General features: G+C 38.4%; 1 protein-coding gene across 2 annotated transcripts in view, besides 7 other annotated features; it reads right to left on the bottom strand.

Annotated features, from left to right (window-relative positions):
* The window catches only part of CTR9 (CTR9 component of Paf1/RNA polymerase II complex), a 28501-nt gene extending 11099 nt beyond the window's left edge, over positions 1–17402 (bottom strand). For both annotated transcript variants that reach the window (NM_014633.5, NM_001346279.2), the window contains exons 1-16: positions 17191–17402; positions 15878–15976; positions 13451–13690; positions 12853–12970; positions 11810–11899; positions 8327–8475; positions 6594–6701; positions 5110–5217; positions 4769–5005; positions 4447–4536; positions 4212–4340; positions 3917–4100; positions 2158–2246; positions 657–842; positions 487–574; positions 157–305 (exon numbers count right to left, since the gene is read on the bottom strand). In NM_014633.5, the coding sequence (NP_055448.1) occupies positions 157–305; positions 487–574; positions 657–842; positions 2158–2246; positions 3917–4100; positions 4212–4340; positions 4447–4536; positions 4769–5005; positions 5110–5217; positions 6594–6701; positions 8327–8475; positions 11810–11899; positions 12853–12970; positions 13451–13690; positions 15878–15976; positions 17191–17235 (2109 nt within the window). In that variant the 5' untranslated portion in view covers positions 17236–17402. The remainder of the gene's footprint in view (positions 1–156; positions 306–486; positions 575–656; positions 843–2157; positions 2247–3916; positions 4101–4211; positions 4341–4446; positions 4537–4768; positions 5006–5109; positions 5218–6593; positions 6702–8326; positions 8476–11809; positions 11900–12852; positions 12971–13450; positions 13691–15877; positions 15977–17190) is intronic.
* Positions 3663–4862: an enhancer, noted in NCBI's record as "CDK7 strongly-dependent group 2 enhancer chr11:10785333-10786532 (GRCh37/hg19 assembly coordinates)". NCBI's record gives its function as "activates an origin of replication core promoter dependent on BRD2, BRD4, P300/CBP, MED14 and CDK7 cofactors, with strong dependence on CDK7, by STARR-seq in HCT116 cells {active_cell/tissue: HCT116}" and the evidence as "EXISTENCE:reporter gene assay evidence [ECO:0000049][PMID:35650434]".
* Positions 6258–6307: an enhancer, noted in NCBI's record as "active region_4447". NCBI's record gives its function as "activates an Ori minimal core promoter by ATAC-STARR-seq in GM12878 lymphoblastoid cells {active_cell/tissue: GM12878}" and the evidence as "EXISTENCE:reporter gene assay evidence [ECO:0000049][PMID:35858748]".
* Positions 17515–17564: an enhancer, noted in NCBI's record as "active region_4446". NCBI's record gives its function as "activates an Ori minimal core promoter by ATAC-STARR-seq in GM12878 lymphoblastoid cells {active_cell/tissue: GM12878}" and the evidence as "EXISTENCE:reporter gene assay evidence [ECO:0000049][PMID:35858748]".
* Positions 17515–18033: a biological region, named in NCBI's record as "H3K27ac hESC enhancer GRCh37_chr11:10772162-10772662".
* Positions 17533–18033: an enhancer, noted in NCBI's record as "H3K27ac hESC enhancer chr11:10772162-10772662 (GRCh37/hg19 assembly coordinates)". NCBI's record gives its function as "activates a minimal SCP1, AML or CMV promoter by ChIP-STARR-seq in naive H9 embryonic stem cells {active_cell/tissue: H9 hESC(naive)}" and the evidence as "EXISTENCE:reporter gene assay evidence [ECO:0000049][PMID:30033119]".
* Positions 17585–17734: an enhancer, noted in NCBI's record as "active region_4445". NCBI's record gives its function as "activates an Ori minimal core promoter by ATAC-STARR-seq in GM12878 lymphoblastoid cells {active_cell/tissue: GM12878}" and the evidence as "EXISTENCE:reporter gene assay evidence [ECO:0000049][PMID:35858748]".
* Positions 24962–25031: an enhancer, noted in NCBI's record as "active region_4444". NCBI's record gives its function as "activates an Ori minimal core promoter by ATAC-STARR-seq in GM12878 lymphoblastoid cells {active_cell/tissue: GM12878}" and the evidence as "EXISTENCE:reporter gene assay evidence [ECO:0000049][PMID:35858748]".

Below are 25232 nucleotides of genomic sequence, written 5' to 3'. Positions count from 1 at the left end.
AAAGCCTGGCCTTAGCATTATATAATTATAAATCTCTAAATAGACACAGTATCACAAGAGATAGCATGCAGCTCCATGACAGGGCCAGAATGGCTAAGAAAACATCTGCTTAACAATGAACAAGATATAAAAATATCTTGAAAGAGAAGCTATTACCATCTGAACGGCGCTGATGTACTGCTTTTGCTCCACATAGATGTGTGCTAAGTTCAGCCACACATCACTAATATCTGCTGTTGCTTCTCTTACTTGGGCAAATACATCACGAGCTTCACGAAAATATCCTTTGTGGGCCAAAACAGCTCCTAAAGATATAAAAAGGTTCACACTTAACAATTTTCTAATTGGAGTCAGAAAAACAACTAAAAATTCTATTTTAAAACAACTACATTGATCACATTTTAAGAAAAATTCTGATTTACAAACATTCCTCTGAAAGTATTCATTTGAAACAAATTGTTATGGGTACTCAAGTCTTATAATCACCTATGCCATTGGCAGCATACAGATTCTTTGCATCATTTCTGAGTACTTGTTTGTAGATGGCCAGAGCACGATCTTGATGACGCTTTTCCTATAGAAACAAGTGCTCTTAAAAAAGATTCAAACGAGAATGTAGAGTATCAGTTTTGTTTAAAAGGACAAAAAGAGATTACCTTTTCTCGATCTCGGGTGGGCTGATGTAAAGTTTGGAGCCACACGTTGCCAAGGGCTAGCATAGAATAGGTATCACTCTGTGTGGATGGCTGTTTTAATATCCTCTCAAACTTCTTCTGCCCAGGACCCCATTCTTGTTTTGCCAAATGAAGATTGCCAATCAAAGACCAAGCATCTGGATGATCCTGAAACATACATACATGAAGAAGGAAAATCTGCAGTTTAGTTTGACAGAGATCAATCATCTTCCCACAATAGCTGATTACTGAAGAGGTTTACAAACTATATTACAACAGTGGTTTTCTTTCTTTTCTTTCTTTCTTTTTTTTTTTGCATGGCAATCCAAATTTATCGAACTACTAATGCTAAAGCTAAGTTATACAAAATTGCACCACTTTAATTAATGCTTTCAGTTTACATTTGGCCACCTCAAAGTAGTTGTAACATTAGGTTGGTCAATTTAAATACTGTGGCTCCCTGTTGGATAGACACACAATCTTTACATCCAGACATAAATGCATACAAAGCAACAAGGCACTGTTAAATAAAACAGCAATAGTTACTGCAAATTAGGCCTTGTGACCAATTACATATGATTAAAATTAGTTCCCCACATTCACATCCACAGTACTTGTCCACCATTTAAAATCTCAACCAAAACGTTACAAACGTGGAACCATCACTAACAGGCAAAAATACTAAACTATATTTGGTATTGCAAATACCCTTAGGCATGAGCAAGCATGGGATTCACAGTGAGAATCTACAGCTGCAGAAGCCTGAAAATGATTTACAAAAATTGTTAAATCATTAAAAAATTGTTTGAAAATATACACTTCTTGTTGTAGACCCCCACATGAGTGGTTTTCAAACTGAGTTGATACCCATTAGTAAGTTGTAAAATCCATTTAGTTAGTCTTTAGTTATCTGCATAGTAAATGCAACAGAATGGAATAAAGTAAAAATATCAGTGTATCGCCCATTGGCAAAAGCAAATAATGATTTGTGAAACTTTCATTTCAGTTGTTTGTCTATATATACATTTGTGTGTACTAGGCTATGATGTGAAATCTATTTCTTTTTGTGGGCCCTCAAAACGTTTAGATGACCATAGCTATGGTTCCATACAAAATCCTAAGATACTATGCTATAAAGTTCTCTCATATGGTACTAACTAAACTGAAAGTGAAGTAAACTAGTGAGAGTAAAAAACACAGGAGTCAGGTCACATTTGTTGAAGTGGAGTGAAAGGATGGGATGGGGGAAGGGAAGAAGGAAAAAGGAAGACAATAGGAAAGATTTACATAAAAAAACATGGTCCCTATTTATAACATGATTAATAATGCAACCTAGTACATTTTTAGTATCTAACAAGTAAATGAAAACAAAACAAAAAATGACAAAACCAGGAAGATGTAGCCATTAAAAGGAAAAACTGATTTATGGGGAAGGAAAAGTGAAAATAATTATTTCTCAAACCTAAGAGTTAATATTACCAACCTGATTAATCTGAAGAGCTTCCTTAAACCAATCTGAAGCCTCATAAAAGTTTCCCTTATCTCTAGCCATGGCTCCTAGGCGCAAATAGCCTGAAAACATATTTAAAAGTTTTTATATCCCAAATATTAGCTATAAAGGATCATAATTTTAAAGTCATACTTTTGAAACAATTTTTTTTCATTAATACCGCCATAAAAGGAACAGAAAAGTCCCAAAGGTGAAAAAATATCAATCATCCATCCAACAAGTTAAAGAATAATTTTGTCACCATCTAGACTTACTGTTTGAAATCTAAGACTTACCTCTGCCACTCCACTCCCAATGCTAGTTCCCTGGTCCAAGTCCTTATCTCAAGCTAAGTTATTTTAAAAGCTTGGAACCGGCCTGTTTCTAATTTCTCTCCAATGCACACCATTGTCAGTTACCTTTTTTTAAAAAAAGCTGCTTGTAATACGGCAAAACAGTGAAAGTCTGATGAATAGGTATTACTACTTAGAAGATCTGGGCTCTAACTGGGGTTCTTCCATTAATTAATAGTGAAGTGCTACACAAATGTAAGTTGTTGTTTTCTCTAGGAAATGTCACTTCTCTCAGGAAACCAATAATGGTTCACTACTGCCTATCAAATCAATTCAAATTCAGTCTGGCATTCAACTGAAATCTTGCTTATTTTAAATCACTTTTGCATCCATAACAGCATGATAGGCACCAAGTTAATAGCTCCTGATATGCCGGGCACGGTGGCTCACGCCTATAATCCCAGCACTTTGGGAGGCCATGGTGGATGGATCACCTGAAGTCAGGAGTTCTAGACCAGTCTGACCAACGTAGCAAAACCCCACCTCTACTAAAAACACAAAAATTAGTCGGACGTAGTCGTGGGCCCCTGTAATCCCAATTACTCGGGAGGCTGAGGCAGGAGAATCACTCCAACCCGGGAGGCAGAGGTTGCAGTGAGCCGAGATTGTGCCACTGCACTCCAGCCTGGGTGACAGAGCAAGACTCCATCTTAAAAACAAAACAAAACAAAAAAACAAAAAACCTCCTGATTTACTAGAGTCAAAACATCATGCTTTAGGTTCTTTTTAAAGAAAGTACAAAAACAAACAAAAAAACCCTCATACACACAAATAAAATTAAGTACACTATGTATATTATTATTATTTAAAATATAAAGATGGGGTCTTGCTACTGGGGTTGTTTAGGTTGGTCTTGAACTCCTGGACTCAAGCGATCCCGCTGCAGTGGCCTCCCAAAGTACTGGGATTCCAGGCATGAGCCACCATGCCAGGCCTAAATTATTTTTTAATTAAAAACTTTCCTTATTTTATAACGTATAGGTTGCGAAACTCAAATTAGGACATTTTAGCAATAATTGTTTAAAGGAAAAGCACTTTTCTTCCTCACTATTATAAACATTGTAAGAATGTTCATATGAAATCAAAGAAGGATGTTTCAAAGGTAAATGCATTATCAGATATGCCAAGGAGTTGTTAAAAGCCTAACAAAGGTAGCTGACCCACTGAAGATAACCTAGTCATTGAAATACGGTCCAATTGGTTTTAGTTGCTTATTTCTAGCACAAATGTAAGTAAAGCTGCACCTTTGTTTTAAGGCCACAAATTTGCCCTGGAGAAATGGGGACATTAGAACCTTAAACAATTTTTACTATCAATTCTAAATTTTTTTCAGGCTAAATTTTTGCTGCTCTTGTGGGAATGAACGGATTTCATTACATAAAGAAGTTTAAAATCCTTACAGTCAACATAATTAGGATGTTCGCGTAAGATGTTTTTATACAGTTTTTCTGCTTCATGGAATTCACACATCGCCTCATATAGCCTGGCGAGATTATATGACGTGGTAACGGAAATGGCGTTATAGTAATGCTCATCGTGTTCCGCTTCTGCTTTTGCACGGTCCAATGACGCCAAAAAATATTTCTATGAGAAAGAAAAATCACACTGTTAAAAGATTTAGTTTATACACTTTTTAAAAAGGTGTGCATGCAACTTGATTCAGTATAAAAGAAGGAAATATTTCTATTTTCCTACCTTAGCCTCCCCTAGGTTTCCAAGTCTAAAATGGAGGGCACCCACATTATTGAGAATCTCTGGAGGAACATCGGCCTGCACTTTCTCCTGAAGGATTCGTGTTGCTGTTCCATAGGCTGAAAGGGCACCCTGTATTTTCATGATTGACAGAAAAAGGTGTAAGTGGAAGAGAGACACTACACCAGGCTTACAAAAAACACATCATATGAGAGATTAAAAAACATTACTAAAATACCTGTATATCAGTCTGTTCTAAGATTTGTGCCAATTCAATCCAAGCTTCAACATCATCGGGATACTGTTCTGTGACCTTCTTCAAATGGCCCTGGGATAAAAGAGATTGTTAAGCTGAAGTATTCCATCTATAGGTTGTCAAAATAAAAAGTGGGGGCTATGTAAGTCTGTTTAATAAATCCATTGTTTGTTATCTAAACTGGAACAAGCTCAGCTAACAAAACTGTTTCTATCATATTTCTACTAGCAATAACAGGAAATGAGAAATGGGAGTTTTGGGACAGCTAACAGAAAACAGCTAAGACTTTAAAAAAAAGATGTACCTTGGCAATATCTCGTTTTTCTTGATCTTCTGAGGCAGCATAGAGAGAGCCGAGAATTTTCATAGTTTCGTAATTATTAGGATAAGCTTTCAAAACCTTCTCAAAGCACTGAGATGCATTTTCTTTGTCACCTCGATAAATATACATTTGTCCCAAACCAAAAAATGGGAGCACAAAAGAGGATGAGGCAAACTGTGTGGCTTGATAATAGTACTGAAAAGCTTGGTCATAATCTTCCTAAAGAATGAAAATTAAAAAAGACCAATATGTACAAAAGTATTGGAAAGACTTAAAACACTATAAGTAAAAAGATTAGACATTTAGAGAAGTTATAAAATTACCTGAACATGGAATGATCTAGCTAGCTGATAGCAGCTCTCTGCTTGCATAGCTTCCACTTCTGTATTATGGAATGCATGGAGGGCCAGATGCTGGACTTTACTATAATCCTGAACAAAGATCAGAAAGTCAACTGAGTGAATTCATAAGACTAGCTTGCATAGCTGTTTTATCTTAGACTAACACTTCGTTTACCTGTAAGATACATTTCCATCTTCTTCATAAATAGTTGCCTTTCAGTGCTATAACAGTTATAACCTAATCAATAATTCACTATGAAAGGGGAGTATGTTTCTACAGCCAGAAAGAGTAAAGCACTGTGGTTAGTCTAAGGTCACATAACTATTAACCACAGTGCTTTACTCTCTCTGGCTGTAGAAACATACTCCCCTTTCATAGTGAATTACTGACTTTAGACTATTAACTCTTCCTCAACTTATCCACCCACAAAATGGGAATAAGATTACCTACATCATAGAATTATTGTGAAGATTACATAAGTAAATACATAAAGCGCACTTTTTTTTTTTTTTGAGACAGGGTCTCACTCTGTTGCATGGGCTGGAGTGCAGTGGCGCCATCATGGCTCACCACTGCAGCCTCGACCTCCCAGGCTCAAGTGATCCTCCCACCTCAGCCTTCTGAGTAACTGAGACTACAGGTATGTGCCACCATGTCCAGCTAATTTTTAAAAATTTCTGTAGAGATGAGGTCTCACTATGTTGCCAGTGTTGGTCCTGAACTCCTGGGCTCAAGCAATCCTCCCACCTAGGCCCCTCAAAATGCTGGGATTACAGGCATGAGCCACTACTCCCAGTAGATTTAGTATTTTAAGAAACCTAAAATACCACTGCTTCTACAGAATTAGTGGCAACTTAAAAAATACAACATGATTAACATGCAAAATAAAAATGTCAGTGACTCCTTGTTCCCTACATAGCATGTCCAAATTCTGGTATTACAAAAATGCTCCACTATCTGAATCCAAAGCATTGCCTACCATAAGTATATTATACACTATTTCATAGATTTGTGTGTCTTTCCCTTTTCAACTCTCTAGTGACCTCTTCCTAAAAACCTAGTTCAAAAGCTCTGCAGCCTTGGTGAAAATTCACCTAAGCCATCTGACCACTTCCTCATTTCTCTACCATAAATGAGTAGATACCTTTATTTTTACACTTACATTTGTTTACATGGCTGCTCTTTCTATGAAATTGAACTCCTTGAGTACAGACACCATGTTTTACTAATCTTCACATCACTACCACAGTGTTGGGTACAGTATATAGGGGTCAATAAATATTAAGCAAATAAATGAATAAACAAATGTAGGTACCCCCAGGTAACTAATACAACAAACTCTATAATTTGGAGGGGGGAAAAAATCTGACATTTTCAAATTTCTTTCCAAGTTTAAAAAAGAAATAAAATATCAATTGCAGTACAGAAAAACAAAAATCAGAATTTAAAAATAAATGACTTCTACCTTTTTGAAGAAAAAGTGATTTGCCAAATGGTTCAATACCATAGGGTTGCTAGGATCAATAGTATAGGCTCTGGAAAGAAGCTGGACACCATTTTTAATGGAATCAGCCTAAAAGAAAACATTGCAACAAGGTGGAGTGAAAACAATACTAAATTAGCACTTTTCAAGAAGTTTTCTTTAGTCACAAGAAATAAGTTATAAATCCTAAGATCAGACACTAAAACGGATTAGAAGCTTCTTATGATTTTAAATATCTATATTGCATTTGTAATTAAATCTCTCTTTTAATCCTTAATTTTTTTGTGTGTCACTTTTTTCCCCTTTTTATTTTCTTGTTCAGTTCTTGCTTGAGACTTATCTCATCTACTTTATTAGTCCCTGCCCCTACTTCTCCCACAAAGAGCCACCTTTGTTTTTATTTATTTATATTAATTTTTATTTTTTTCAGACAGGATCTCACTGTGTTGCCCAGGATGGAGTACACTGGCATGAACACAGCTCACTGCAGCCTTGACCTCCTGGGCTCAAACAATCCTCCCACTTTGATCTCCCAAAGTGTTGGGATTATAGGTGAGAGCCACCATGCCTGGCCTCTACCACCTTTGGTTTTATTGATCCGAGCTGTTTTCTTCGTGTGACTGATACTGGTGGATTACCCAACAGCCATTTGGGTTGGTAACATCCTGCTAACAGAATCCAGATTTTGTAGCCTGTGAAAATCTTTTGAGTTTAGGAAGGAAAGTTCCCTTCCCCCCTTCCCCAGGCCCGGGGGATGAATCATGATTGATCTACACCAGTCCAGATAATCTTTTCCTCTGGCCTAAGGTAGTGGTTCTCAACTGGGGATGAAGTCATGTTTGGTTATCACAATTGGAGGAACGCTATCGGCATTTAGTGGGTAGAGGCCCGGGATGCTGTTAAAACATTCTATAATGGAAGGGACAGTTCCCCACAACAAAGAATTATCCAGCCCAAAACATCAATAGTACTGAGGCTGAGAAACCCAGGTATCCCTGTTTTGGACAATTATACATAAGGGGAAGCATGATGGAGAGCTTCCTTCTCAATATAAGACAGGGCTTCTCTAAGAGAAAGCCTTTTTATCCTTTCTCTTTCCTCCCTCTTTATAAGACCGATGTAATAATGAGAAGCTGGAGATGCTGCAGCCATCTTGTGACTATAAGGTGACAGACATGATGAAGAAAGGCTGCACATTAAGGAAGGGAGGACGGAATTATATAAAATCATAGGTTTGACGACAAGGACCTATCAAATTTGAGACCTTTGACAACTGGTTTAGTAAACACTAAAAGCCCTTATGTTTAAGGCACTGGGATGTGTTTTTTGTTACGTGCAATGAAAGCATTCCAAACTGATATACAAGTCTACGACCCCTTATCTGAGATTCTGAAATCTAAATGCCTTAAAAAACAAGTTTTGTTTTCTGTTTTTTTTTTTTTGGTAATCTTGGAGCAAACTTATTTGGTGGCAATACTACCTGAATTGTAACCCTATCCTACTAGTGTAAACAGTCTATCATTTTGCCACAGAAATATAAGTTTGCTTTTGGGGTAGTGCCCCAATAACTAGGTGTTATACATTACAAAGTACAGGTACCCTTCTGTAATCTGTAATCTTAATTTCTAAGACACATCTGGCTCCAAGAGTTTTAGATAAGAGGCTGTGGGCCTGACAAAGCAGTTAGGAGCTAGATACTTTTTTCATTTACATACCTCTTTATTGTTGAGTTCTAGAACAGCCAGTCCAACCAATGCTCCCACGCATTTGGAATTGAGTTCCAGGGCTCTGCTGAATGCCAGACGAGCTTTTTCCAGTTTGTTAAGTTTCACAAAGCAATGACCCATTCCTAAACGAACTTCCGCTATAAAATGAAGTCATTCAATCTATCAAACTAGGGCATTTTTTAGAGTTCAATTACAAAAATGCTTAAACATTCTCTATTTATGAGTTGCAAAATCCCCAAAATTAACCTCAGTATAACTACACTACAGAATCTTTTGACCTATCACAAACTTGGTTTCCTTGGAGGCTACATCATACCATATTCCAACCCTCTCCTCTATCACTGACACATTTCTCACTATAGAACAGAACACCTATAATACTGGTATTCTTCTTGTCTTCTAACATCGCTGCTAACCATACCTTCAATTTCTCATTATTGAAGAACAATTTTTAAACAGAGAACAAAAGTTCCACTAAGACCTTAAATAATATGACTGATTATGGGCACATACCATTGTTCCTTTCAAAGCTATGCTCATATGTGCTACCTCATTTAAGGCCATGCCAAAACACAAACAAGTTCCCATCTAAAGCCAATCACCATACTGGTCACTAGATGCCCTCTTATCTATTTAAGAATACTGCTCCAGCAACCCTCCCCTATTTTTTCTCTCTACTGGATCATTCATTCTCATCTACACATAAACGTTCTGCCATCTTATACAAATCCTCTCTTGATTCTATATCCCTTTCCAGTTGTCGATCATGTCTGTTCTTCAATAGCAAAACTCCCAGAATGATCTAGCTACGCTTGCTATGTCTAATTCCCTTCCTTCCATTTTCTCTTGAATACACTCCAGTGAAGCTCTCACCCCACCATTCCAGTAAAACTGCTTTTATCAAGGTCACTATGGATTTGTATGGTGCTAAATCCAATGATCAATTCTGTGTCCCTATTTTACTTGACCTAACAACAGAATTTGACACTGTTGGTCATCATCTTCTTCTGGAAACATTTTACATTTGCCTTTAAAGACAATGCACTTACCCTATTTTCCTCCTATACCTCTGGCTATTATCTTCTCAGTCTCCTTTGCTGATTCTTCCTCATTTCCCTAATCTCTTAATATCAGAGTGCTCTAGGGCTCCACCTCTAGACCTCTTTTCTATTTGCACTCATTCACAGCTTTATACACTATCTATATGTTGATGACTTCAGCCCAGACCTCTTTCCTGAATTCCAGCCTTTCTGCTGTCTTCACTTTGTCAATTTTAAATAACGGGATTTGGAAAATATGATTAAGTATAGAGTGTATTGGAGTGCAAGGTGTAAGAATGGCCACCAGAAAAGTACTGACTCCAAATGAATGATATCAGCATTTTCCAAAGTGAAAAAGTTAAGGTTTTAATTATTTGGGGGAAATAGAGAAGTTCTAGTAGGATTGTAACATTCTAAAATATAACACCAGGTGCCTATGTCACAGCAATTTGATTGGTTACAAATTGCTATATTCTAAAAAGATTATTTTATTGCTCCATGTGAGGGGGATCTTATTTCTGGCACCATTTGATCTTAATTGTTTACAGAAAAAAAAAGGCAGAAATTGCAACTGCATGCCACGTGACTCAGGTTGTATAGCCACATTCTTCTCAAGGCTCAGGATAAAGCTCTAAAAGCTTTAAGGCTGAACTGCTTAATTTGACAACTTATATGTCTAAAAGGTATTTCAAACTTTTCAGGTCTAAAACTAGTTCCACTTAAACTATTTCCCAAATATAGTAAAATATAACTCTACTTTTCCAATTGCTTGTGCAAGGGAGTTATCTTTGACTCTTCCTCTCTGTCTTATACATCATAGGTACTCCATCAGCTCTCCTTTCAAAATACATGTAGAATCTGACCACTTGTACCAACTCCACTATTACCTCCCTAGTGTGAGCCACAATCACCTCTGACCTGCCTGTCTGCAGATGCCTTCTCCCTGCTCTCCCTACTTCTGTCCTTGACCCCCTCCCCTTGAGCCCCACTCTAGTCTCAACCCCAAAGCTCAAACGAACCTTTTAAATATAGGTCAGATCACGTCACTCTGCTGCCCAAGGCCCTCCAATGGCTTCCCATCTCTGTCGATGTAAAAACTAAAGTCCTTACAATAATCTGTGATGCCCTACGTGATTAGTCAGTCCCTGGTTATAGCTTTGACCCCATTTCTTACTACTTTCCCCCCAACTCTTTCTCTCTCTATTCCAGAAACAATGGCCTCCTTACTCTTCCTTAAACTTACCAGGCACTCTCTTTCCTCTGGACCTTTGTACCTTCTATGCTCTCTCTCTAGGAGTGGTCTTCTCCTATATATCTGCATGGCTGCTAGTTGTTTTTTAGGTCTTCACACAAATGTCACTATCTCTGATGAGTTTCCTTGGTCATCCTTTCTAAGCAATTCCTGATGCTTCTCATACCCTTTTTCTGCTTTATTCTTCTCCTTGGCTCTTACTGGTAGCTTACACATCATACATACTTTACTATTTATCTTGCCCACTGAAAACTGGACTCCATGAGGGCAGGAACTTTTGTCTCTTTGGTTAATTGCTACATTCTCAGGGTTTAGAACACTGCCTGCCACATAGTTGGTACTCAGTAAAAATTTGCTACATGAATGACATTTTGGAAAGAAAAATAGTATAGGGCAAAAAGATTATATTATAATCTACTATCCAGACTTTTTTTTTCTTGAGACAGGGTCTTGGCTCTGTTGCCCAGGCTGGAGTGCCGTGGCATGAACATGGCTCACTGCAGCCTCAAATGCCTAGGCTCAAGTGATCTTCCTGCCTAGCCTCTTGTGTAGGTGCGACCACAAGCACTACCATGTGCGGCTGATTTTCTGTAGAGATGGGGGTCTCCCTTTGTTGCAAAGGCTAGTCTCAAATTCCTGGGCTCAAGCAATCCTTCTACCTCACCCTCCCAAAGTGCTGAGATTACAGGTGTGAACCAGTGCAGCCAGACCCTATCTATTTTTTTTTCCCCTTGAGACAAGGTCTTGTTCTGTTGCCCAGGCTGGAATGCAATGGCACAATGATGGCTCACTGCAGCCTCAACCTCCCAGACTCAAGCGATCCTCCAGCCTGAGCCTCCTAAGGAGCTGGGACCACAGGTGTGTGCCACCATGCTCATGTAACTTTTTTATTTTTTGTAGAGACAGGGTCTTACTACGTTGCCCAGGCTGGTCTCAAACTCCTGGGCTCAAGTAGTCCTGCCTCTGCCTACCAAAGTGCTGGGATTATTGGCATGAGCCATTGCACCTGGCCTTACTATCCAGCTTTTGACTCAAACATAGCATCAAAAAAAAAACTTGATTCTGACATTTCTATAATCCAACAATATCTTTTCATAACTTCATAAGCAACTGACAAATCCTCAATGCTTTAAGCTGGGTAATACACAGTTTAGACATAAAATAAAATTTTTCTCTTACCTGGACATCCTGGGTTAGTACGCAATGCTTTCTTATAGTAAGCAAGAGCTCCTCTGTAATCCTTCTTGTTGAAGGAAATGCAAGCTTTACCTGTAATGATTTTTAAAAATAAACACAGTGTCTGATTAAAGGCTACAAGTCTATTATGTTTTACACTAACTTATCTAAGTTAAATACATCTCTGAGTGAGAAATACTTGAAAACACAGAACAAAATTTCATATTAAAAATTTGTTTTTCATAAAAGTATACTAATTTATGTCTAAAAATAAAACTTCCTATTTTTATGTTAAATGTTATAAAGTTAGCAAACTAACATAGGAACAGAAAACTGAATACTGCCTGTTCTCACTTATAAGTGGGAGCTAAATGATGAGAACACATGGACACAGAGGGGAACATCACATACTGGGGCCTTTTGGAGGGTGGAGGGTGGGAGGAGGAAGAGGATCAGGAAAAATAACTAATAGGTACTAGGCTTAATACCTAAGTGATGAAATAACCTGCACAACAAACCCCCATGACCAAGTTTACCTATGTAACAAACCTGCACTTGTACCACTGAACTTCAATAAAAGTTTAAAAAATGTTATAAAGTAATAATTGAAATAACTTTAAGTTGTCTAAGTAGAGATTGTTTATTGGCTCTTCAGAAGTGTATAACCAATTACTCTTTTTTGAAAAAATTATTTTTTGTAGAGATGGGGTCTTGCTATGTTGCCCCAGCTCGTCTTGAACTCCTGGCCTCAAGTGATCCTCCTGCCTCAGTCTCTCAAAGCGCTGGGATTACAGGTATAACGAGACAGGGTCTCAAAGTGCTGAGATTATACCATGCCTGGCCTAAATAATAAATTATTCTTAACTGGTATATATTTTATTTCTACAATTTCAACAATATTTGTTGTAGGTAATTTCATTTGTAACAACATAAAGCTCTTCTACTTTGCTGTCTAGCTGAGTTATTAAGGAGCTATTACCAAGAGATATATTCTAGGCATATGCTGAAAACAACTGTTTCCTAACATGTTGCCAAAGACCACTTACCAAGAAGGGCTGGAATATTATTTGGAGACTGATTGAGTACAAAATGAAACTGTGCATCAGCTTGATCCATTTTGTCACCCTCAAGTAGGCAGAAGCAGGCTCTTCCCAACAAATGGTTCTATGAAGTAATGTATTATCTTAGATTTTACCCCTATATACCATGAACATGTAACACTAAAGTGAAAACCAAATAGGAAGGAGGTGGAGCACAGTGCAAATTCCCCTATCAAATGTAACGTGCTTAAGCTACTAACAAGCAATTCTTAATTACAAAATAAGAAATTATCCTGAAATGTAAGTCTTCTGTGCCAATAACAACAACCAAAAGAAAAATTTAAATTCCTTAAAATATCCTTGAAATTCACCTGGAGATAATAAAATTACTGGAGCAAGTTTTATGTACTACATTTGTCCATATTACTTAAACAGTACAAAAACCAAAGCATTCCGATTTTAATGAGGAACCTTTCTTCTTTTTGACTCTATCAACCATGTTACTTGAAGAAAAACTCTTTCAAAAAATCTGCTATCACACACATTTTGCTTTCATGTGCTTTTCTCCCTTCATAAATGGAAAGAAATTTGACTTTATTTTTACCTGATCATACATAATAATTTTATCGGCCATTGTATACAACAAGGTGGCCTGTGTAATAAGATCCTTTTTATTGTCCTTATTCTTTTCTTTCCGAGCCTGTTGTACATAATACGCTGCCAATGTATCCAAGCAAGTCATCTGGTCTTTTTCATGGTCTCTATAGTCCAAATTGCCATCTATACGTGCTGCTTCCAACAATTTTACAAACTCTTCTGTTTTTCCTTGCTTGTAGTATTCCAGCTATAAGGTAATGAAACAAATTAGAATCACTAAAGCATATGTCCATATAAAAAGTTGTACACAAATGTTTACAGCAGCTTTATTTGTAATAACAAAAAACTGGAAACAATCAAAATGTTGATTAACAGGTGAATGGATAAACAAGCTGTGGTGTATCCATAAAATGGATACTATCCTACAATGAAAAGGAATGAACTACTGATACATGCTACAACATGGATAAATCTCAAAATAATTATGCTGAATGAAAGAAATCAGACCAAAAAAAGAGTACATATTGTGTGATTCCATTTATATAAAACTCTAGAAAATGTAAAACAATCTCTAGTGTCAAAAAGCAGACCAGTGGTTGTCTGGCACAGGGATTAGGGGTGGGGTGGGGGACTTGTGGGGAGTGGTACAGAGGACACTTTCAGAAGGTGATGAATGTATTCATTAATCTTGATTGTGGTGATGGTTTCACAGGTATATACAGATGATAAAACTTATCAAATGGTAAATGTCAAATATGTGCAGTTTATTATAAATCCATTAGACTTTAATAAAACTGTTTAAAAAACTGGAATCATTCACAATGTTCCCAATCTGCTGCTTATCTAGTTGATTTCTAACTAAAATTTTCAGATAAGTAGAGCCTAAGAGAGAAAACAATAGTGAAAGATATGAAGAATTCTAAATAGAAAACTTGGGTTCTGGTTCTAGATCTACCAAAAATTATCTGTGATTTGGGCCTGTTTAACAACTTCTCTAGGCATCTGTTTGACTTATAAATAATAAAAGAAATATCCACTAGGTGTGGTGGTATGTACCTGTAATCTACTACTTGGGATGCTGTAGTGGCAGGATGGCTTGAGCCCAGGAGTTTGAGTCTAGCCTGGGCAAAATAGAGAGACTCTGTCTCTATGTGGAATATCCACCACTTATTAACCACTGACTATTGGTCACATACCATGAAAGGAATTTCATACACATATTCTCTAATCTGTACAACCACTCTATGAGGTAGATGCTAACATCTCTATATTTTAAATGAGGACATATGCTCAGAAGTTAGATCATTTGTCTAAGGTCACATAGCTAGTTAGCAGCCATGCCGGGACTTGATCTAACCCCAAAGCCTACATTCTTTTCCCTGTAAAAATCTATATCCCACAATGTGTCATTAATTTATTCTACTACAGGTGCCATGCTAATCCTCCAATATTCTAATTTTTGTTTAAGTGCTGTTAAGGAGGGCATATGTACTTAAAAATATATATATATATAATATATATTATATATACATCTAAATTACCATCTGGTTTTAAAAAAAATGTGTGTGACAAGGAGGCTTGGTCTCCATGGAATAAGAAAAGTTGGCACTTCAAGTCAAGAAGGCACTGCTTGTCACTGAAAATACTTCTCTGTAAATCCACATCTAAAAGGAAGAAACTCTTAGAGCAGTCTTGAGCACTGGATATAAGCCCAATTCCAGACCTATTTCTCTGACTCTTCAAGACAATATTAGGAGCCTCTTCTGTATGTTTGTATGAAAGCAATGTGGCATATCTACTTAGGAATAATGACTGTAACATTTATATTACCTATTCCTATAAAAAGAAAACATCATTATGCAGCTGATGCTGGCAAGTAGAGGATATAGAATTTTAGGGTTTCTGATTGGATTTTCTTGAGAATCTCCAGTAAGATTCACATTGAAGGAGACTAAATAGGACAAAAAACATAAGTCTGAGATAAACTTCACCCAAAAGAACTTTTGTGATTTTGGGTGAAGTGATTTTCCCAGAACCTAATCACATTCTAGAATATTTTAAGGGAAGTGTTTTGTTGTTATAGGAAACAATGTTAAGCAGCAATGTTCACACAGAAGCACTTCGCTTCTTTTCAGCTTATCTATAAACCATAAGCCAGCCTTCACTGAACAAGCACTAAATAATAAAATATTCAATATAGAGTACTACTTAAATGAATTTTGCCTTTACCAACATATACTAATTCACCAGTAGAGCAGCATATCATTTAGGAAAACGGCCTTATTGTTCCATAAATTATTAACACAATTAACTTCCATACACATGGTATAACTAATCTACCATGCAGCCAAGCTGGCTATTACTATATCTGAAAACAGAAACTACATATTTTCCTAGTCAACAAATAAAAAATATTTGCTACATGAATACTGACCGCCAAAGCAATCCATATGTGCAGTTGTGTGTGTTCCTGTTTCAGAATACTGATAACTTCATCTCCCTCCGGTAACTGATCGAAGTCAAGTTCAATGACCTAAAATACAAAAGGTAGGTCTTAACTCTTATTCCACTTTAAAATTCACATTTCATCTTTGCTGCTTTTCGTGAATATAATCAACATGCATATACATAGAGTACGTGTTCACTTTCAATACGGTTGAGCTAATCCATGTTAATGTTTAAGGAGCACATGACGAATAGGTTATACTATAATAAAGTTAAAGCACAGAGAAGCAAACAAACCCTGCTACTTGTCCCCAGATCACTGGAACTATAAAATACTAGAAATGGTCTGCTTACTAAAAAATAACAAAACAAAATCCTACTTAACATAGAATCCAAGTAAAGTGCAGATAAGCACCCTAGAGACTATTATGCCATAGGTCTGACTCCTTGAGATGCATGACCCTACAAGCCATGCAAAGTTGAATGCCACTGCACACATTAATCATGGAGGTGGCACCTGCGTGTAACAGACAGTCCTGACTGTAAGCACAAAAATAATAATAGGAAAATGTCCTGGAATTAGAGGTAATGACTATACAACTTTGCGAATACACTAAAAACCACTGAATTTTATACCTCAATATTATATCTCAAACAAAAAAAATAAAAATAAAAGATATACAAGAAGACTGAACATCAAAGCTGAGAGCTTTACTCAGACAAGCCACAGGCCACCCATGAATGAGACATAGGTAAGCGAGAGGAGGTTAAATTTTATCAGCACACAGGGGCGGCTAAATCTTGGGATATCTCGTTGAAGGAGAGTTGGTGTAGAGAACACAGCGCACCATGACAGACTCGAGTTTCTAAGGGAGAAGAGGCGACCTCCTATATATTCCCAGGGAAAGATCTCGAGTTTGAGCAGCAAGCATATAAACCCCGGAAACATCAGCGCCCACCTCTGTAATCTGCGAGGTGTTTTACAGTTTATCGGGTACTCTCACACCTCTGCTCCCGTGGGTTGGTTAGGAAAAGAGTAGCGCACTGTCAAATTCGAACAGGCTGGAGAGGAACTTTCAAGAACTCCTTCTCCGAGTGGCCCTGAGGCTGCAGAGACGCGGTGCCCCCAGCCTGAGAGGGCACAGGGGCTGAAGAAGATGATGATCAGACCTTGGCCAGGTATTTCGATCAGGGCTCTTAGGGAAGGAGGATGCTCTCGCTTCAGAAACGAAGTCGAGCGAAGTCGGTGGGGGCGATCGTACAAGTTCATGGCCCCCACCCGCCTCCATACACGACACTTACCTCGTCAGTGTCCCGGAGGGGAATCTCGATGGAGCCCCGCGACATGATGGGGTCAAAAGGCGAGCAAGTGTCTCGCCCCGCCGCTCCGCAGCCGGTAGTCTCCGCTTCAGGCTAATCCAGAGGTGAGTGACGGCTCCGGCTCTGGTCTTGACTGCCGCCCCGCGGCGCCGCTGGAGCTCTGGCTTCTCCTTCCCGTCAGCCGCTTAAACAACGAGCAGCGGACGGCGGACGGCCACTTCCGGCGACCCCGCCCCCTGTCCCGGAAGCACTCCCGGGGGAGCGTGCCCTACGCGAGCTCAGCTTGTGGCTCCGGTGTTTCCGTTTTGGGGTTGGCGGCTCCGAAGCTTTTGTTGGCGTGTCGGCTGTAGGGTGCCCCGAGAGCCTGCAGGACCTTCGGAACCATCTGGCGTCTGACTCTCCTCAGCGCTGGCGCGGCCCCGAATGAAAACTTGGAAGGCGTAGCCGCTTGGTCCCGCGGTGGGCGGGGCCCCTGCCTGACGTGGACCTCTCGGGATGGGCCTGGCCAATCCTGTTTTCTTCCCAAGATTGTTAGGGATAATTCAGTCATTCGTTTCGCAACCCATCTTTTGGCCCCCGTTAGGTGTAAGTCATACCTGTGATACCTTTGTGACTAGTTTAAATAAAAAAATTTACAATTAATTCGGTAATCATTGTGATAATTCATGTCTTATTTTTTTTAGTTCTTCGAAGCATGTAAGAAGATCTAGTATATTTGTGATTTAAGTAAAATTGCAGATGAGGCCAGGCGCGGTGGCTCACGCCTGTAATCCCAGCACTTTGGGAGGCCAAGGCGGGCGGATCATCTGAGGTCAGGAGTTCGAGACCAGCCTGACCAACATGGTGAAAACCCGTCTATACTAAAAATACAAAAATTAGCCCGGCGCGGTGGTGGGCGCCTGTAATCCCAGCTACCAGGGAGACTGAAACAGGAGACTCGCTTGAACCCGGGAGACGGAGGTTGCGCTGAGCCGAGATCAGCCACTGCGCTCCAGACTGGGGATCGATCGAGACTCCACCTCAAAAAAAAAAAAAAGAGGAAATTAATTTTAGTAATATATTTTATTTAACGTAATATATCCAAAATCTCATTTCAACATGTAGTCAATATAAAAATTCAGATAATTTTTACATTTTTTTATACTGAGTCTTGAAAATTCGATATGTATTTCACATGCATACACTGATCTCAGTTGCCTGATTTTAATTGGAAATATTGGATCTGTGTTTAGATTTTATAAAGTTTGCAGTTGAAAAAATAGGTTCACACACTTTAGTTTTTCCAAAATTTAAATTAAAAAAATTCCTAATTAAATTCCTTAATTGGATTAGTCATATTTCAAGTGTTCAATAGCCACATGTGGTTAGTGAATACTGCATTGGATGGCATCAGACAGTATTTCCCAGAAATACTGTTTAATATATTTTAAAGTTTATAAAGTAAGCATTAAACAAAAGTACACATAGTGGTGATTGTTATTCTCCATGCCCAAAAGCCTCCCTGATATTAAAAACTCTATTGATAGGTTTGGTTTTTCAGTTATTCGCATCCAAAGGCATCATACCTGATAATGCAGAGTGCTATGATTGAATAGTTGGGGCACTCAGTTTAGAGTGGGATTTGGAGGAAGTGACATTTAAGTTGCATCTGGGAAAATGAGTAAGGTTTGGCAGGTAAAGTATGTAGGGGAATGTGTACCAGACAGAGGGGACGGCATGTTGGGGAAGAGCTTTGAGAACCTGCAAGAAGGTCATGTGACTAGAATGTAGAAAATGAGGGGGAGAGTGGCATGAGTTGAAGCTGATATAAGAAGTACCCAGACATGCTGGGGTTTATGCTTATAAAGCAAAACTGACATCTTGTCCTGTTTCCAAAATGAGTGAGTGTACATATTACTTCCCACAGGAAAAACAAAATACTTTGTGTTCTGAAATAAACCGTGAAACAACAGTATCACACTCTGTAGTCTCCAAAGTGAACAAAACTTTCAGCATTTCCCATATATTACTGACTCTCTTACAGTTTAATTGCTGACTTTTGTACTGCTACAGTCTGAAGATATGTGGGAGCTTGGGGTCATATGGCAATCATATGAGAAAATTGCTCTTTTCTCACCATGAAGCAACTAACTGTAAACCTTGGTGTGTGTTCATTTGATGTATCAGTCCTTCTAAAGCGTAAATTCACCTGTATACTTTTGCAAGTGTTTTTGTAAGTAAACTTTTTTTCTAAATGCTTTTGTCCTTCAGAATTTCTTTTGACTTAGTATATATTAATGATTTGGGGTTTTATCTTACATGCAAAGTGATTGAAATGCTTTAAGTGATGTGTATGTGTCAATGAGAGGGAGAAAGAATAAAAGAGAATTGGTTTTGGCCAGGCACGGTGGCTCATGCCTGTAATCCCAGTACTTTGGGTGGCCGAGGTGGCCTATCACATGAGTTTAAGAATTCAAGACCAGTCTGGGCAACATGGTGAAATTTGTCTCTACTAAAGATACAAAAATTAGCTGGGTGTGGTGGTGCACGCCTGTTATCCCAGCTACTCAGGAGGCTGAGGCATGAGAATCACTTGAGCCCCAGAGGCGGAGGTGAAGGTTGCAGTGAGCCAAGATCATGCCGGTGCACTCCAGCCTGGGCGACAGAGTGAGACTCTGTCTGAAAAAAAAAAAAAAGAATTGGTTTTAAAAGATTGTTCTGGCTATGTTGTGAAAGATGGATTGGAAAGTGTCTCGAGAGGATGTGGGCAGACCACTTAGGAAACTGCTGTCTAGGTCACAGATGATAAATAGGAATAGGTTTAAGACAGTGGAGGTGGAGAGAAGTGGATGGATTTAAGATTATCATCTATCTATCTGTCTATCAATCATCTGTTGATACCTTAGTCACTAGGACTTGCCAATGTATTGGATATAGGCCGGGGTCACTGAAAAAGTAGTGTCAAGAAGGACGTCCAGTTTCTGGCATGAACAACTGGGTGAATGATGTGTCATTTCCTAAAATAGGAAAGATTAGTGGAGGAGCACATTTGGGCAAGGGTAGACCACTAGTTGGATTTCACATGTGTTGTTTGTAGTTTGTACTGTCTCTGCGACAGCCAGATGCAGATTTCAGATAGTCTAAATTACAGATCTGTAATTTAGAAGACAGTTTCTAACCTGGAGAAATAGGTCTGAGAGCTATTGGCATAAAGATGAATTTTAAAACTATGGGATTAAATTAGATTAGATAACCTAGGGAGAGAATGGAGAGTGACAAGAGAAGGGCCTAGTTCCCAGCCTGAGGAATTCTAGCACACAGAGGGTGTGAAGAGGAAGGTGGCCTGCAAGGAATCAGCAAGGACAATGAAGAGAGAATCACCTATCAGGGGCCTGGCAACAATTGAGACTTAAACTACACTCTTGGTACCAGGTTGCTACAAGCAGCCTTTTGTTTTTCCCTAAATGTAGCAGGCACTGATGAAATTAGATGTTTTAAAGCTGTAGAACCAGTTTTGGAGCAATTTCAAAGATTTTATTTCAACTGGCATGATTGCATAATGTCCATTCACAAAACACCATGCCCCATGTTGGGCCTGAGTGCACCAGATCAAGGCAAAGCAGTTAGTGTATTTGGCCAGTGTGGGTTTTGTTGAGTACATGTTCTAAATAGATTGTTAAGATTCTTACTTTTATGTTGTTGGTATTGCAGTTGTCTGTAATGTTGGTAAATATATACATTTAGCCAATCTGAAGAGTAAGTTATTTTATATGTTGATAAAATATGCTAATAATTAATTTATTATTTTTGAGGCAGGGTCTCACTCTGTCATGCAGGATGGAGTACGGTGGCACCATCACAGCTCATTGCAGCCTCAAACTCCTGGGCTCAAGCAATTTCCTGCTTCAGCCTCCCAAGCAGCTGGGATTATAAGCAGACACTACCACATCTGGCGAAATATGCTAATTATTAAAAAGGAGTGAAGAAAGTTGATCTTAACAAATTAAATATACATATAATTTGTTATATATAATTATGTGTGTATATATTATATATATATTATATATAATATAAATATTATATTTTATATATAATATAAATATATTTTATATAATATATATTATATATAATATATAATATATATTATATAAATATATAAATATATTATATATAATATATAAAATATTATATATAATTATATAAATATATAATATATATTATATATAATTATATAAATATATAATATACTATATAAATATATAATTATATAAATATAATTAATTATATAAATATATAATATATTATATATATATATATTTTTTTTAGACAGGGTCTCACTCTGTCACCCAGGCTGGAGGGCAGTGATGTGGTCATGACTCATTGCAGGCTTGACCTCCCTGGGCTCAGGTGATCCTCCAGCCTCTGCCTCCCAAAGTGCTGGAATTACAGGCATGAGCCACCACGCTCAACCTAAATAATATTTTAGATCTTAAGTTAGATATCTTTTAAATAGCAGGACACAAATTGAAGTGTTTTAAGTGTTTTAAGTAGTTTGTATAAATTATTAAGAAACAATACGAAGCTATGTTAGTTTGCTGGGGCTAGGGCTCCCATAACAAAGTACACAGACTGGATGACTTAAACAATAGAAATGTATTTTCTGACAATTCTGTAGGCTGGAAGTGAGAGTCCAAGGCATTGGCAGGTTTGGTTTCTCCTGAGGCCTCTTTCCCTGGCTCGTATATGGCCGTCTTCTCTCTGTGGCTTCCCATGTTCTTCACTCTCTCTGAGTTTAAATCCTAATCTCCTCTTCCTATAAAAACTTCAGTCATTGAATTAGGGCTCACCCTAATGACTTTATTTTAATTTAATGACCTCTCTAAAGATCCTGTCTCTAAATATAGTCACATTCTGAGGTACTGGGAGTTAGGACTTCCATAAATGAATTTTGAGGGGAACACAGTACGGCCTGTAGCAGAGGCCTATCAGCAGGACACATCTCTGCAGCTGAATTATTTTTATTATTTTCCTTTTTAAAAAAAGTTCAATAGTTTTGGGGGAACAGGTGTTTTTTGTTATGTGGATAAATTTTTTAGTGTTGATTCTGGAGATTTTGGTGCAACTGTCACCCAAGCAGTGTACACTGTACCCAATGTGTAGTCTTTTGTCTCTCACCCCTCCACCCTACTCCCACCCCCGAGTCCCCAAAGCCCATCATATCATTCTTAGGCCTTTGTGTCCTCATAGCTTAGCTCCCACTTATAAGTGAGAACATATGACGTTTGGTTTTCCATTCCTGAGTTACTTCACTTAGAATAATGGTCTCTAACTCCATCCAGGTTGCTGTGAATGCCATTATTTCATTCCTTTTTATGGCTGAGTATCCCCTGTTGTTGCAGCTGAATTTTTAAATTATACTTTTCCCCATTAATTATTAAAATAAGGCTTGTTTATGAAATATTAGGATAAATCATCATTAGGCAAAAGTTTTAGGGTTATAATTTATCATTACAGTTGCCTGGGCAGTTGTCTTAGAATACTCTGTGTCATAGTTTCCTCTGGGGTTTCAATAAATATTCATCTCCAAAACATCACTATAGTTTCAGGAATTTAAAATTACATAAAATGCTCCTTTAGGTAAGAACTGGGAATAAAGGTCAACACACCTAATTTGACTGTCAGTAAAACACTCTGATAGAAATCTTAGTTCTGGCAGATTTGAATAACCAGAAAACCCTCCTGCTAAAAACACCTAGATTTGCAGGTCTGAAAACACACACACACACACACACACACACACACACACACAGTAAATGTCCTCATAAATGAATAGCTGAGCTATCTAATAATCTGAAGAACAGGCATTTAAGCCCATGCTAAGACTACCCAGGTAGTGGTGGCTGATATATTCCAGTGAATTGTGTCTTAATGTTCACACAGAAACAGGATTAGAGGCTTTGGGCCCACATTGGAACCCTTAAAAGATTACACCCTAAGTAAAAGTGGGGGAACTAAAAAAAAATCCCACCAACACAGATGTTCTGGGTGTAAAAGGTATAGATGGTGCAATGGGGGAATAGTCTCTCCTAAGCACTTATAACCACAGGTCTGTATCTCAGATGGGTTTGGTGTTTAACATTGTCTACTTGGTCTGTGAATCCCCAAGGCAAGATATTAGCATGGAAATTATCCCTAAGTATGTCATATCTTTGGGATGCCTGAGCAAATTACTTTTTTGATTGATTTTACTTCCCCTAGTAGTAATTAAACAGAAAGTTAACATCTACACTTAATACACCTAACAGGTATTGAATATTTACTTGTGTCAGAATTTTACATACAGAAACTCATTTAATCCTCAGAACAACCCTATAACAGGGGCACAGTAATCTGTCAATAGTGTAGACGACAAGGGTGGGAGTGAGGTTGGGGTGGGGTAGTCATATTTGTCTCTGAGGATTGGTGTAGAAAATAAGACGGGGTGTCAGGTGTTAGGTCAATGTGTATGTGTCATTGCTTTAGATGCAGTCACTGCTTTGGAAGCAGTCACTACTCTATCCCTTGGAGTTTTCTCACTTCAGGTGGAACACAGACTCTCCAACTCTTCTCGTCCTCTCTTTCTTGTCCCCAATGACAAGAAGCACATGATCTCTCCCTTCTTGTGTGTATATATATATATACATATTTGGTAGAGACAGGGTCTTACTATGTTGCCCTGGCTGGCCTCGAACTCCTGATTTCAAGAAAAACTCTTGCCTTGGCCTCCCAAAGTGCTGGGATTACAGGTGTGAGCCATTACACCCAGCCCCTCCCTCCTGAAGGACTTTATTATTGATCCTTATTGAAGGAAGGAAGGAAAGAAGATAGAACTTCAGGTAGGCCTTGAAAGATGGGTAGGATTTGAATAAGCAGAATTGTGGGAAGGATGTTTTATGCAGAAAGGGTATCATGAGCAAAATCTTGACAAGAACACTCTTTAAGGCTAGCAACAAGAGCACAAGTCATAACATTAAAATTTACTGATTATCTGACATCCGTTGTGTGTTCCATCTCCAGGAAGTCTTCCTTGTTATCATCCTTCCACAAGGGACTCTCGCCTTTATATTTTTCTTATCATCTCCAAAGATAGCTTGGCATTGAACTATATTCAGCTTCGGAGAACAGTATATCACAGGATATTTATCCTTTTCTCTTTAAAATACATTGTTCTGTATGTAGTCTTGTCTTCCCTCTGCCTCTGTCCTTCTTGAAGAGATACTTTCCAAACACCCCCTCTCCCAGGGTAAGGATGCTGGAAATGCTCATTACATAAATTTTGAGTTTTCTTGTGTATAAAAAAATGGAAACATAGTAAAGAACTTTGTTTCTAAAAGCAAATGTTGTGTGGAACCCCTATTAACCTCAATAGGGAAAGCACCAGGTTCAAGAGGCCAAAGAAGAGACCCAGAGCCAGCAAAGGAGACATGAGGTTTTATTAGGGGCTCACATACAGGGGAGAGAGTCTAGTGGCGGTGGGCTGGGCAGGAGACCCGCCTCACCTACAGAAGCGGTCCAGCGGCGGGATGGACCGCATAACCACATGACCTAGCGGAGGCAGCGGGCTGGGCAGGAAAACCACAACTGCTTGCAAACAGCATGCAGTTTATACAGCATTTTCACTTAACACTTTCCTGCTAACAACCTCCATCTGGCAACCTTCATTTAACACAGAACTCAGGGCCTCAATCTCCCGTGCAGCCTGTGTTCCACTGGTTGGGCCAGGGGCTCAGATGTTCCTCATTGACAAGGAAAGACTCTCCAGGTTGGTCACACACGGATTGCCTAGCTCGGAAACACACACATTTCAGGTGTATCTACCATACAAAGTCATTCTAAGGTATGCTTAAGTTATTGCTACAGGTGCATTTACCCTACAAATGTACACACAGACTTTGCACGTTACTGCTTTGTGTAGATGAAACTTTATGCCTCAGTGTTAAGTAAATATTTTGAAGATATTTTCAGGACCTTGAAGAGATTATTCTTCACATTCATTCCTAAAAGTT

This window comes from Homo sapiens, chromosome 11, assembly GCF_000001405.40.
Source record: "Homo sapiens chromosome 11, GRCh38.p14 Primary Assembly".
In the NCBI taxonomy this organism is placed as follows: domain Eukaryota; kingdom Metazoa; phylum Chordata; class Mammalia; order Primates; family Hominidae; genus Homo; species Homo sapiens.
Note: the sequence above shows the minus strand (reverse complement) of the source record. Positions and strands in the feature narration are given on the sequence as shown.